Source organism: Homo sapiens, chromosome 14 (assembly GCF_000001405.40).
Source record: "Homo sapiens chromosome 14, GRCh38.p14 Primary Assembly".
NCBI lineage: Eukaryota > Metazoa > Chordata > Mammalia > Primates > Hominidae > Homo > Homo sapiens.
The window spans coordinates 45,057,097-45,072,045 of NC_000014.9; the positions used below are offsets into that span (position 1 = coordinate 45,057,097).

A 14,949-nucleotide genomic window follows, 5' to 3' on the forward strand; every position below is an offset into this window, starting at 1 on the left:
TCTTGGGAGGTTGTATGTTTCCAGGAATTGAAATGTAGTTGCTCATAATAGTCTCTGATGATCCCTTGTTTATTCTGTCGAATCAGTCCTAATGTCTCCTTTCTGATTTTGTTTATTTGGATCTTCTGTCTTAAGCTAGGTAGCGATTTATTAATTTTATCTTTTTGAAGAACCATTGATGAATCTTGCGGGGTATGGGGGTTATTTCATTTAGTTCTCATCTGATCTTTGTTACTTATTTTGTTTGGCTAACCTTGGGGGTTTGTTTTATTATGTTTTTTCTAGTTCCTTGAAGTGTGATGTTAAGTTGTGATCTTTTTACTTTTTTGTTGTTTATTTTTTTTTATAGAGACAGGGTCTCACTCTGTTGCCTAGGGTGAAGTGTAGTGGCATCATCATAGCCCATTGCAGCCTCAAATTCTTGGGCTCAAGCAATCCTCCTGCCTCAGCCTCACGAAGTGCTTTCTACTTTTTTCATGTAGGCATTTAATGCTATAAATTTCCCTCTTAACACTGCTTTTGCTGTATCCCACAGGTTTTGGTATTTTGTGTTTCCCTTTTCATTTACTTCAAAAAATGTTTTAAATTTTTGTCATTGACTCTGTGGTCGTTCAGGAGTATGTTGTTTAATTTCCATGTATTTGTATAGTTCCTAAATTTCATCTTGGTATTGATTTCTAGTTTTATTCTGTTGTGCTCTAAGAAGATACTTGATTTGATTTCAGTTTTTAAAAATTTGTTGGGACTTATTATGTGACCTAATATATGGTCTGTGTTGAAGAATGTTCCATGTGCTGATGAGAAAGATGTATATTCTGCAGTTTTGGGGTCAAATGTTCTGTAAATGTTTGTTAAGTCCATTTGGTCTAAAGTTCAATTTAAGTTCAGTGTTTCTTTGTTAATTTTCTGTCTCAATAATCTGCCTAGTACTGTGAGTGGAATGTTGAAGTCCACACTCAAAACAGGATTGTTTTGCTGTCTCTTTCTTTAGGTCTAGTAAATATTTGTTTTATGAATCTGGGTGATCCAGTGTTGGGTGCATATATATTTGGGATTGTTATAGCTTCTTGCTGAATTCATCCCTTATCATTATCATCCCTTCTTTGTCTTTTTTTTTACTGTTTTTGATTTGAAGGTTGTGTTATCTGATGTAAACATAGCTACACCTGATCACTTTTGGCTTCCATTTATGTAGAGTGTCTTTTTTTTTTTTTTTGAGACAGTGTCTCACACAATTGCCCAAGCTGGAGTGCAGTGGCACAATCTCAGTTCACTGCAACCTCCCCGTCCCAGGTTCAAGGGATTCTCCTGCCTCAGCATCCCTAGTAGCTGGGACTATAGGCACACACCATCATGCCCGGCTAATTTTTGTACTTTTAGTAGAGACGGGGTTTCACTATGTTGGCCAGGCTGGTATTAAACTCCTGACCTCATGATCCATCTGCGTTGGCCTCCCAAAGTGCTTGGATTACAGGCGTGAGCCACCATGCCCAGCCTAGAATATCTTTTTCTACCCCTTTAATTTTAGTCTATGTGTCTTTTCAGCTAGAGTGAGTTTTTTATAAGCAGCATATAGTTGGATCATGTTTTTTATCCAGTTTGCCAATCTGTAACTTTTAAGTAGAGCATTTAACCCATTTGCATTCAAGGTTAATATTGATATGTGAGATTTTGTTCCTGTCATATTGTTAAGTGTTATCTCCCTGTTTTATAAATTATTTGTTTCTTTTTCTCTGTTTTCGTGGTTTGGTGGAATTCTGTCATGTTGCCATTTGATTCCTTTCTCTTCCTTTTTATGATTGCTTTATATGACCTATGAGTTTTATACTTTCTTATGTTCTTATGATAGCAAATATCGACCTTTGTTTCCATGTTTAGGGCCCATTTGGGTATTTCTTATAGGGCCAGTATAGTGATGACAAAGTCTATTAACATTTGCTTATTTCAAAATTATTACTATGACCTCTTTGTTCTGTTTTTAAATATATTTTATTTTTATTTTATTTTACTTCATTTTGAGACAAGGTCTGGAGTGCAGTGGTGTGATCACATCTCACCACAGCCTCGACCTCCTGGGTTCAAGCAATCCTGTTTTAGCCACTGGAGTACCTGGGACTACAGGTGCACACCACCATGCCTGGCTAATATGTTGCCCAGGATGGACTCAAACTCCTGGGCTTCAGGGATCCTCCCACGTTAGCTTTCCAAACTGCTGAGATTACAAGCATGAGCCACCACATCTGGCTTTAAATATATTTTAAACACTATTGGCTGGGTGCAGTGGTATGCACCTGTAATCCTAGCACTTTGGGAGGCTGAGGTGGATGGATTGCCTGAGCTCAGAAGTTCAAGACCAGCCTAGGCAACATGGAGAAACCCCGTTTCTACTAAAAATACAAAATATTAGCTGGACGTGATGGCGCACGCCTGTAATCCCAGCTACTCAGGAGGCTGAGGCAAGGAGAATCCTTTGAACCCAGGAGGCAGAGGCGGAAGTTGCAGTGAGCTGAGATTGCTCCATTGCACTCCAACCTGGGCGACAGAGCGAGACTCTGTCTCAAAAAAAACAAAACAAAACAAAACAAAACAAAAAACAAACACTATTGAAAAATTATACGAATACATCATATTCATAGTATACATAGGTATCTCTCATATTTTCTGTATTTGTTTATCTTTGAAATATTTCATAAACTAAAGTAATGACATAAAAAATAAAGCTGTATGTGAAAATATATGCTTTGGGACCTTGATATTTTAAGTACAGCCCACAAAACAGCCACATTGACATCACCTAGGAGCTTTTTAGAAATGCAATTTTTTTTTTTTTTTTTGAGATGGAGTCTCGCTCTGTCGCCCAGGCTGGAGTGCAGTGGCGTGATCTCGGCTCACTGCAAGCTCCGTCTCCCAGGTTCATGCCATTCGCCTTTCCCAGCCTCCTGAGTAGCTGGGACTACAGGCACCCGCCACCACAACCAGCTAATTTTTTTTTTTTGTATTTTTAGTAGAGATGGGGTTTCACCGTGTTAGCCAGGATGGTCTCGATCTCCTGACCTTGTGATCTGCCCATCTCAGCCTCCCAAAGTGCTGGGATTACAGGCATGAGACACTGCACCCGGCCTTTTTTTTTTTTTTTTGAGATGGAGTCTTACTCTGTCACCCAGACTGGAGTGCAGTGGCAGGATCTTGGCTCACTGCAACCTCCACCTTTTGGGTTCCAGTGATTCTCCTGCCTTGGCCTCCTAAGTAGCCGGGACTACAGGCGTGTGCCACCACACCCCGCTAATTTTTGTATTTTTAGTAGAGACAGGATTTCACCATGTTGGCCAGACTGGTCTTGAACCCCTGACCTCAGGTGATCCACCCATCTTGGCCTCCAGAGGTGCTAGGATTACAGACATGAGCCACCACACCCAGCCAGAAATGCAAAATGTTATTCTCCTTCCAGACCTACTAAATAAGAATTGGTAATTTTTCTACCTTGATATTATATAATCTCATAAGATCCTGGATCAGATATCTTGGTCAAAAAATGTTTTTTGGAACCCATTAAAAAATGCTTTCTTAACATCTATTCAGAGCATACTGTGTGGGAGGCCTTTTCCAAACACTTAACTTATTTCATAGATATTTCTCAAGTTGGGTTTATCTGATATTTTCTCACAATTAAAAGAAGTTATGCAAGAACACCACAGAAGTGATGTTGTACCCTTCTCACTGTATTACATCACAAGGTACATGATGTTGTTATGTCTTACTACTGATAACTTTGATCATTAGCTTATGGTGGTTTCTGCTAGGCACTGTACTATTTTTCCATTTATAGTTAATAGATATCTTTGGAAACTTTGAGACTGTGTAAATATCCTATTTCTCACCATACATATGCCCACTAATTTTATCCACCACTGAGAGATTTTGCCTACAGCAATTAGTACATGGTTTTTTGCCTAATAATGATCTATTTTCTTGATTTCTTCTATATTCATTGGTTGATTTTTTTCTTTACAGAAAAACTGTTCCATTTCCTTCATATGTTTATTTATGCAAATATTCATTTATATTCGTGAAGACTAATGGATTTCTATTTTATTCTGTGGGGTATAATCAATCGAATACTGCCATTATTTCCCTCTTCAAATGGTTCTAGCTTTAGGAGCTCCCTCGGGTTGGCTGCTGTGCTTTTACAACATGCCCCATCCATTTACTTTCTGTCAGCAAATGATTCTCCAGCATCTTCTTGTATTTCATTTCCTCCTTTCAAATCTGTATGCATCTAATTTATTTTTCCTACCTTAATACTGTGCTGGTTAGAATATCAAATATAATGTTAAATAGAAGTAATAACAGACATCTTTACCTTATTCCTGATCTTTGGGACAAAATGTTTAGCATTTCACCACTGTGTATGATATTAGCTGTAGGTTTCATAGAAAGCTCTTTATCAAATTAATGAAGTTTCCTTCTAGTTTGTGAGTTTTTAATCATGAATGAGTGTTGAATTTTTCTCAAATGCCCTTCCAGCATCTATTAAGATAATTATATTTTTTGTTTATTTTGTTACTATTGTGAATTATGTTATTAAAAATGATAACTTGTATTCCTTGGATTAGCCCCACTTGGTGATGATGATGTGTGATATTTTTAATATATTACTGGGTTTTATTTACTAAAATTATTTAAGTATTTTTGTATCTATAATCATGAGGTCTTTAGTTTCCTTGTCTTAGAATGTCTTTGGATTTGGTATTGGGATAATGCTGAATAATCCCTTGTGGTTTCTTCTTTAATACAGGTGCTATTTAGAAGTGTATTTAATTTTCAAATATTTGGAGATTTTCTAAATATCGTTTTGTTAATGATTTTAAATTTAGTTCTGCTCTGTCATTGAACATGCTCCATAGGATTCTAGTTCTTTTAAACTTCTTGAGACTTGTTTTATGGCCCAGCATGTGTTCTATATTACTGACTATTTTATATCTACTTGAAAGAATGTACATTCTGCTCTTGTTGAATGTAGTATTCTATAAAATGTCAGTTAGGTTAAGTCGGTTGTTATTCAAGTGTTCTATAATCTTACTGATTTTTTTCTACTTGTTCTATCAATTGCTGAGATAGGAGTATTGACATCCCCAATGTATTTGTGGATTTATTTATGCTTTCTGTTGTATCACTTTTTGCTTCATGTATTTTGATCCACTGTGATTACGTTTAAATACATTGAGGATAGTTGTGATTTCTGATAAATTGGTCCTTTTGTCATTATTAAGTACCTTTATCGCTGGTAATATTCTTTGTCCTGAAGTCTATGTTAGTAGACTATTTTAGTTTTCTTTTGATAGAAGATTTGCATGGTATGTCTTTCTTTAAATTACAGTGTTACGGAGACGTAATTCACCTACTATATAATTCATCTATTTAAGACATGCAATTCAATGTTTTTTAGTACACATGGTGTCCAACTTAGGATCGTTCAACTTACGATTTTTCAACCTTACAATGGTGCAAAAGCAGTATGCATTTAGTACAGTAGAAACTGTACTTTGAGTATTCATACAATCATTCTGTTTTTCACTTTCAGTATAATATTCAATAAATTATTCATTATAAAATAGGCTTTGTGGTAGATTATTTGCCCCAGTATAGGATAATGTAAGTGTTCTGAACATGTTTAAGGTAGGCTAGACGTATTGAATGCATTTTTGATTTAAAATATTTTCAACATACAGTGGGTTTATCGGGATGTAACTCCATTGCAAATCGAGGAGCATGAGTATATTCATTGAGTTGTGTAACTGCCATCATAATTTTAGAATATTGTTGTCACCTTAAAAGAAATCTCATACTTATTAGCAGTCATGCCCCATTTCTCAACAATCTTCCCTTCCCCAGCCCTAGGCAGTTTGTCTTCTGTTTCTATGGATTTGTTTATTCTGGACATTTCATATAAAGGAAATCATATGATATGTGGTCTTTTGTGACTGGCTTCTTATACTTACGTTTATATTAAGGCTTATCCATTTTTTTTAATCAAAATATCAAGGGCTCTTCCATGTTATAGCATTTATCAATACTTCATTCCTTTTTATGGGCAAATACTATTCCATTCATCCGTATATGGATATAGCACACATTGTTTATCTATTCATCAGTTTGGTTTTGTTGTGGACATATGTTTTCAGTTCTCTTGGATGTGTAGGAGTGGAATTGCTGGATCATATGATAACTCTATGTTTAATCTTTTGAAGAACCAGCAGAAAGTTTTTCCAAAGTGCCACCATTTTACATCTCACCAGTAGTGTAAAAGGGTTCAATTTTTTCACATCCTCACCAATACTTGTGATTATTTCAGTGGCTATAAACTAGTATCTCATTTGACAAAGTTTTTTTTTTTTTTTTTTTTTTGGAGACAGAGTCTCGCACTGTCGCCCAAGGTGGAGTACAGTGGCGTGATCTCACTGCAACCTCTGCCTCCCAGGTTCAAGCAGTTCTCCTGCCTCAGCCTCCTGAGTAGCTGGGACTATAGGCGCGTGCCACCATGCCCAGCTAATTTTTGTATTTTTAGTAGAGACAGGGTTTCACGATGTTGGCCAGGATGGTCTCCATCTCTTGACCTTGTGATCCACCCACCTCGGCCTCCCAAAGTGCTGGGATTACAGGCGTGAGCCACTGGCTTCTCGCCCGACAAAGATTCTTCTGGACCAAACTGTAGACTTGCTTCTCTAAGCCCTATTTTCAATTCGGCCTTGACCTTGGGCCCTGTCCTTGACCTGCCTAACCCAGTCTTAGCAAGGTATCCTGCTAGCTCATCTCTCCTTCCTTTGATATGTTATCACCCTTGATATCTGATCAAGTTCCTCACCCCCACCACCTTTGATGTATAAGTCTTTGGACTTCCTTTAGCACACATCTTATTAGGCCAGTTTTGCAAGAAACTTCCTACTTTTTAATGTCTCCTCTTAGTAATTTTCTATCCACTGACCCCCACCCCCCGCTCTGGTTGTGGGCCATAAATCCCTATCTGTCTTTACTATAGTCAGAGTTAAGAACAGTTGTTCTCCCTTATTGTAGTAGTCATGATCCCTCTTGAATAAAGTCTTTCTTACCATTTTAACAAGTGTGAAAATAATTTTTCTTTAATGCATTGTGGTTTTTGCTTGTATTTCCTGGTATGTCTTCTTAATTAAAAAATATATTTTTTATTAATTTTTAATAAAAAGAGATGGGGTCTTGCTATGTTGCCCAGGCTGGTGTTGACTCCTGGGCTCAAGTAATCCTCCAGCCTCGGTCTTCCAAAGTGCTGGGATTATAGGTGTAAGCCACCATGCCCAGCTTATGTCTTTTTAAAGAGCATTTTTCTGGGCAGTACGTGACTCAGTCTTGTCTTTTTTGAGGGCAGGGTCTTGCTCTGTCATCCAGGCTGGAGTGCAATGACGTGATCATGGCTCACTGCAGCCTCGACCTCCCAGGGCTCAAGTGTCCTCCCACCTTAGCCTCCCGAGTACCTGGGACTACAAGCCCATGCCACCCCTACCCTGTCACTCAGCTAGTTTTTTGTATTTTTTGTACAGATGAGGTCTCAATTTGTTGCCCAGGTTGGAGTCTTGTCTTATTACCAATGTAACAGTCTCTGCTTTTTAATCAGGGTATTTGACCATTTAGGTTTAAAGTAGTTATTCGCATGGTTGAATTTAAGCCTCTCATTTTGATAGTGTTTTTCTATTTGTCTTATGTTTTCTGTTTCTTTTTCTTCTTTTTGTGCTTGGTATAAGATTGATTGAGAGGTAGGGGGTGTGAGTGCGTTTGTGTGCATTTTGGTATTTCATGTATTTCCTTCATTAGCTGTATCTTTTTGTTCCTTTTTTAAAGTGGTTGATCTAGACTTTATAATATTATAATGTGCATCTTTACTGTCTCACAGTATACTTTCAAATAGTATTAGACCACTTTAAGTATAATGTAAGAACCTTACAATATACTTACATTGAGCTTACTTGCAGTGAGCCAAGATCATGCCACTGCACTGCAGCCTGGGTGACAAAGTGAGACTCTTTCTCAAAAATAAATTAAAAATTAAAAAAATAAAATAGATAGAAAGATAGAGTGAGACTCTGCATCTAAAATAGATAGACAGATTGACCAACCAACCTACCTGTCACTTTGCATGACTCTTTAGTTTCAAAAGGATGATCATCTAAACAGGGGTGTCCAATCTTTTGCTTCCCTTGCCACACTGCAGAAGAATTGTCTTGGCCACACATAAAATACACCAACACTAATGATGGCTGATGAGCTAAAAACAAAAAAACAAAAGAAAAAACATTCACATATACACAAAAATCTCATAATGTTTTAAGAAAATTTATGAATTTGTGTTAGGCTGCATTTAAAGCTGTCCTGGGCTGCATGCGACCTGCAGACCATGGGATGGACAAGCTGGATCTACCACATTGAGTTACCCCTTTATAGCCACGAAAAATATTATGCTATGAATACTGTCATTGCCATAATAATTCCTGCTGGTCTCTAGTTTCTCATTGTCCCATGAGTGTTCTCACGGATACTTTGCAGGAAAGAGTTAACATAACAGGGCCCAAGACTGCTATTCTTAGAAAGGCCTGCTTAGAGAGATTGCCCATTGGTTGACATCTGGGAACTTAGGTTTTGGAAAGATTTCAACTATTCCTCATAAGAGTGGTTCACTTAATCTTCTCTGGAGGATGAGTTTTTTGAAAGAGGTTCAAGGTAATTTATCTAGATCTCAACGGGCAAGGAAGCTGTTCAGAAAAAAGTTAACATTGCAGTCCTGAGACTGCTATCCCTAAAAAAGGCTGCTTGCAAGGTTAGCTCTTCGCTGACATGGGAAACTAGGATTTCAAGAGGATTCCCACTATGCCCTAACTGATAAGATAGTTTACTGCGCCTAAATTGTTTGGGCAAACAATATGGTTTATGCTGGAGGCCTGGTTTCCTTCTGGGAGTCTGGAATTTTGGTATGTCCTAGGCAGACAGTCCCTACATTACCAGCTCCCAGTGAAAACTCTAGACATGAGGCCTCTAATAAGCTTACTTAGTAGACAACATTTCACATATGTTGTCATAACTCATTGCTGAAGGAATTGTGTTCTGTGCGACTCTACTGGGAAAGGACTCTTAAAAGCTTAGATCTGGTTTCCTCTGGTCTTTGACTTGTGCACCTGTTCCCTCAGCTGATTTTGTTTGGTATCCTTCTGCTGTAATAAATTTTAGCCATGAGTAAAAGTATAGGCTAACTCTTACGAGTCTTCCTAGCAAATATCCAAATCCAGGGGAGATCCTGGGGACCCCCAGGAGAGATACTGTGGCTATGGGTTAGCCACAGTTTTTTGCATTTTATGCATTTTGGAAAATGAATGCATAATGAGATTTTTAAATTATGTTTGTATAATAGTTTTTATAGGAAAGTACAAATGAAATTACCTTCACCTTTCTTTCACTTTAGAGCTGTAACTGAAGTTCGTGAAGTCACCAGAAAATCAGTCCCTCGTAATTCCTTAGAAAGTGCTGAGTACCTTAAACTCATAACTGGCTTATTAAATGCAAAAGACTTTCGTGATCGTATTAATGGGATTAAGCAGCTTTTATCAGATACAGAAAATAATCAAGACCTTGTTGTTGGAAACATTGTGAAGGTAAGGACTTGTCAGAATTAATTTTAATGTGGGTATGGTGGCTCACGCCTGTAATCCAAGCACTTTGGGAAGCCAAGGTAGAAGGATCTCTTGAGGCTAGGAGTTCAAAGTTCAAGCCCAACCTGGGCAACATAGCAAGACCCTGTCTCTACAAAAAAGAAAATAAAAATTTATTTTCATTTGAAATCTATGTCAAATGAAGTTTATCAGTTTAAAACATTGCCCTAAATCTTAGTGTTTTATATACCTTCTCTCTATATCTATATACAAATTACACAAATTTAAAATGGAATGTAACTAATAAATTACTTATATACATATCATATATAGATATATAATTCTCAAGTGTGAAAATAAGCTTAGTGAAAAGAATGGATTTTCTAGGTTTTTCTAGGTTAAAAGCATACTAGAACAACTCAAAGTCACTGAAACAAAGTAAGAGGATAGCTATTTATTAGTCTGAATCCTGCCACAAGATGGTAAGCTCCTTGAAACTGCTATATTCTCAGAGCTCTCAGAACCTGGCATCTAGTAAATATATGTTGAATTAATCAATACATATTTTTAAAAAGCAAAGACAGATAAGAGACTTGATATTGCTTTAGAACAGATAATAAAACTTTCCATATGTGGGTTAGAAATCTCTATATACTGACTCCTGTGTACCTATCTTTAGGAAGACAATAAGCAAAAGAAAGGGAAATATTAATAAATATTCATCATGTCAGAGCATAGATTATTTTTGCTTGATCAGAATTTAGTTCAGTTAATTCTATTAATAATTTATTAATTAAATTTCATTTTAAATTTGTGTAATGTGCATTATACTTGGCAAACATACCATAAGTACTCTTTACTTCTCATGGTATTGTCTCAGTTTTCTGAAGAAAAGAACCATATTACCATGTCATGGGAGCCAGAAAGTTATATTTTCTGATATCTATTGAGTAAAAATAAATCTCTTGGGAAGATTATTCTTAACATGAAAAATAATAAATAAGTATTAGAAATTATTAGTGAATAGTCTCAGCTCATAGAGTAGCTCTTCACTCACCTGACATGACTAAAGGATTGTTTAGCATTCACTTTATTATATCTTGAGTTTATGAAAGTTAAGGATTCTGAAGAGCAAGGAATTATTGTTAAAAGTTTTCAGGTTAAGAGATAATAATACAAATTTAACTCTGAAATTGCATCTAAAATTTTCATAATAAACCTAAACTGAAACTAGGTTAAATCTCCACAGTAAAACTTACAAGTCTACTTCTAGTGTGAAAAGAGATAAAAACAGAAACTTTTCTAAGTTCTTAGAGTTAGCTAAGCTAACCTCCATCTTCCAGAAAACAAGATGTTTATCATATTTACAGTCAGTCAGTCAGTCATCTGCCTACTGAGCCACATTTTTCAGCCTTTATTAGGATGTCTTTTGGGGTGATTTTTGAGGCCTTCTCTTTTTGTTACAAGAAGATTTGACACTTAGATTTAGTACCCAAATTTTTATAAAGTTCCTGTTATCCAAGTTCAGGCAAAATAGGATGTTGTGTATATATTTAAACTGAGTAAAGTAGGAGAAATATTATGACATGCCAAGATACTTATAAATACAATAGCTATAAAAATCATTTTACTTTAAATAATTTACCAATTTATTTTCAGATTTTTGATGCTTTTAAATCTCGACTTCATGATTCTAATAGTAAAGTAAATCTGGTGGCTCTGGAAACAATGCACAAAATGATTCCTCTACTTAGAGACCACTTATCTCCTATAATCAACATGCTAATTCCAGCAATAGTGGATAACAATCTGAATTCCAAGAATCCAGGCATCTATGCGGCTGCTACAAATGTTGTTCAGGCACTGAGTCAGCATGTAGGTAAGAAATCTTACTTCGGCACTCAAATTATTTTCACTTTCTTTTCATGTTTTCTGATTCCATCCATACTTTTTTTGTAATGCTGAAATCCTAGTTATTCAGTTTTTTAAACTTAATATTATCATAAAACTTTCTATTCTCAATGGTTTTAAAATTATTTTTAGTGATTAAATTCTGTCCCATTAAATTGACTTTCTTTTCCCTTATCTGTGACTTTTATTTCTTTTTCTGCCTCAACCTCACATCTGCTAACAAAACTAACTCAATACTTCGGCATGAGATGATCCAGAAATAAAATAAAGAAAAAAATATAAAAATAAGAAAATAATAATAAATAAACTAACTCAAAATGGATCGTAGAGTTAAATGTACAACTTAAATGTAAAACTTTTAGAAGATAACATGAGAAAATCTTAGGACTTGGTGAAAAGTTTTACATATGGCACTAAAAGCATGATCCTATAATCTCAGCCCTTTGGGGTTGATCTGCCAAGGTGGGCAGATCACCTGAGGTTGGGAGTTCAAGACCATCCTGGCTAATATAGTGAAACCCCATCTCTACTATAAATACAAAAATTAGCTGGGTGTGGTGGTGCGTGCCTGTAATCCCAGCTACCCTGGAAGCTGAGGCAGGAGAATCGCTTGAACCCAGGAGGTGGAGGTTGCAGTGAGCCAAGATTGTACCACTGCACTGCAGCCTGGGCAGCAGAGTGAGACTCTGTATCAAAAAATTTTAAAAAATTAAAAAAAAATAGATAAAGGGACAAGCTACAGACTGGGAAAAATATTTTCAAACCGCATATTTGACAAAGAACTCATACCTAGAATATGTAAAGAAATCTCAAAGCTCAACATAAAAAAAAACTCAAATAAAAAAATAGACAAAAGACCTGAAAAAATATTTAAACCATGAGGCTATACGGATGGCAAATAAGGGAGGATGTGTGACTGGTCAAATAAGCAAGTGAAAAGATGTTCAACATCACTAGCCATCCGGGAAATGCATATGCAAGTTAAGGCCATGATCACCACACAAGTATTAGAACATCCAAAATAAAAAATAGTGACAATACAAAATGCTGACAAGATTACAGAGAAACTACATCTCATACACAGCTGGTGAGAATGTAAATAAAATGGTACAGCCACTCTAGGTTTGGCAGTTTCTTTAAAATCTAAATATACCATGGAATACTACTTAATAAAAAAGAACAAAATATTAGGAACATGAAACAAATTTGTATAAAAAGATTATTCGGCCAGGCACAGTGGCTCACACCTGTAATTGCAGCACTTTGGGAGGCCGAGGCAGGCAGATCACGAGGTCAGGAGATCGAGACCATCCTGGCTAACATGGTGAAACCCCGTCTCTACTAAAAATACAAAAAATTAGCCGGGCGTGGTGGCAGGTGCCTGTAGTCCCAGCTACTTGGGAGGCTGAGGCAGGAGAATGGCATGAACCCGGGAGGTGGAGCTTGCAGTGAACCAAGATCACGCCACTGCACTTCAGCCTGGATGACAGAGTGAGACTCCATCTCAAAAAAAAGAAAAAAAAGATTATCCGTCATGTCCACGTGGAATTTATCCCAGGGATGCAAGGATGGTTCAACATATGCAAATGGATGGTTCTTAAGTATTTTTCATCAGGTTTACTATAATACCATAAAACTTGAGTGACACCATCAGACCTATATGAAGTGCCACTAGTGATGCTGGAAGTGCTCCCAATAAGCAGGGGAAAGTCATGACATGATAAATTTGAATTGCTTGATATCTGAGTAGCTTGAGGTCTGCAGCTGTGGTTGCTCACCATTTCAGACAGATGACTAATCTTGTAAACAGATGACATAAATTTGCATTATTGACAAATACAATACTGTAAATTTATTTTTCTTCTCTCTCCTAATATTTTCTTTTCTCTAGCTTACTTTTTTGTAAGAATACAGTATATAATACATATAACATCCAAAATATGTGTTCATTGACAGTTTATGTTATTGGTAAGGTTTCTGATCAACAGTAAGTTATTAGTAGTTAAGTTTGGGGAGTGTGAAAAGTTAAACACGAATTTTCAATTGTACAGAGGTTGGCTCCCCTAACCCCTGTGTTGTCCAAGGGTCAATTGTAGTTATTTAAGATGAAACCTTTGGGTGGAAGGTACACAGGACCTGTATATAATCTTTGTAAATTTCTCTGTTTCTATTATTATTTCAAAATTAAAACTTAAGAAAAAAATTCAGTAAATGTAAAAACTGCTTCCCTTTTTCTGTTGTTGTTGTTGTTGTTGTTGTTGTTTTGAGACGGAGTCTCACTCTATCACCAGGCTGGAGTGCAATGGCATGATCTCAGCTCACTGCAACTTCCGACTCCCTGGTTCAAGCGATTCTCCTGCCTCAGCCTCCCAAGTAGCTGGGATTACAGGCACGCACCACCACGCCCAGCTAATTTTTGTATTTTTAGTAGAGACAGGATTTCACTGTGCTGGCCAGGATGGTCTCAAACTCCTGACCTTGTGATCTGCCCACCTTGGCCTCCCAAAGTTCTGGGATTACAGGCATGAGCCACCACACCCGGCTGCTTTTTCTGTTTTTTGATAAAACTATGTTATCGTTTGAAATAAGATGCCTAGGAGATTCAGGCAGTTTTTTTTTTTTTTTTTTTAAATACCACATGATAGCTCCTTTAAAACTGTGTGAGGTATTTTTAGTTCTCATTTGCTTTAAGAATATTACTCTGTTAAGCTTTTGTTTGGTTTGTTGGTTTTTAGAGACAGAGTGTCACTCTCACCCAGGTTGGGGTGCAGTGGCACAATCATAGCTCACTGCAGCCTCAGACTCCTGGGCTCAAATGATCCTCTCACCTCAGCCTCCCAAGTAGCTGGAATTACAGGTGCTAGCCACCATGCAAGGTTTTATAGAAAATTTTAAATAGTGATTATGTAGATTTTTAAAGTGTTATACATTTGCATCCTAGAAGTGATTTTTTTTTTCTTTTCAATGCTATGTAATGGAAAGTAACTAAGAGCTCATTACTCTTTAAACATGTGTCTCTGTGTTCTTTTTGTTTAGACAATTACTTACTTCTACAGCCATTTTGCACAAAAGCTCAGTTTTTAAATGGAAAAGCAAAACAGGACATGACGGAAAAGCTTGCTGGTAAATACTTTGTAATTTCTAAAGAAATATTTTATTAACTAAGGATAAACTGATAAACTGTTTCAATTTAATTTTAGGATAGCTACCAACTTAATATAGCTACCCACAAAGTAGAAATAAATTGTGTAATGATCCACAAGAGAACCTTTTAAGACTTTTACCCCATACATTATTGTCAAAAGAATTTTATCCTTTTTTTTCCAGTAAATGTTCAGTCCCCTATTAGTGTAGCCAAATGCAGTGCAGG

General features: G+C 36.6%; 1 protein-coding gene across 6 annotated transcripts in view, besides 1 other annotated feature; it reads left to right on the forward strand.

The window, feature by feature from the left end:
- The window catches only part of TOGARAM1 (TOG array regulator of axonemal microtubules 1), a 112,242-nt gene that overhangs the window by 94,907 nt on the left and 2,386 nt on the right, over positions 1-14,949 (forward strand). For 5 of the 6 annotated variants that reach the window (NR_131765.2, NM_001308120.2, NM_015091.4 and 2 more), the window contains 3 exons: positions 9,482-9,671; positions 11,328-11,547; positions 14,616-14,702. Coding sequence is in view for 5 of the 6 variants with exons in the window: in NM_001308120.2 (NP_001295049.1) it covers positions 9,482-9,671; positions 11,328-11,547; positions 14,616-14,702 (497 nt within the window). In the remaining variant the exon portion in view is untranslated. The remainder of the gene's footprint in view (positions 1-9,481; positions 9,672-11,327; positions 11,548-14,615; positions 14,703-14,949) is intronic. The other variant, XM_011536571.2, reaches the window with a different exon arrangement.
- Positions 810-1,104: an enhancer, noted in NCBI's record as "tiled region #2603; HepG2 Activating DNase matched - State 5:Enh". NCBI's record gives its function as "activates a minimal TATA promoter and a strong SV40 promoter by Sharpr-MPRA in HepG2 cells {active_cell/tissue: HepG2}" and the evidence as "EXISTENCE:reporter gene assay evidence [ECO:0000049][PMID:27701403]".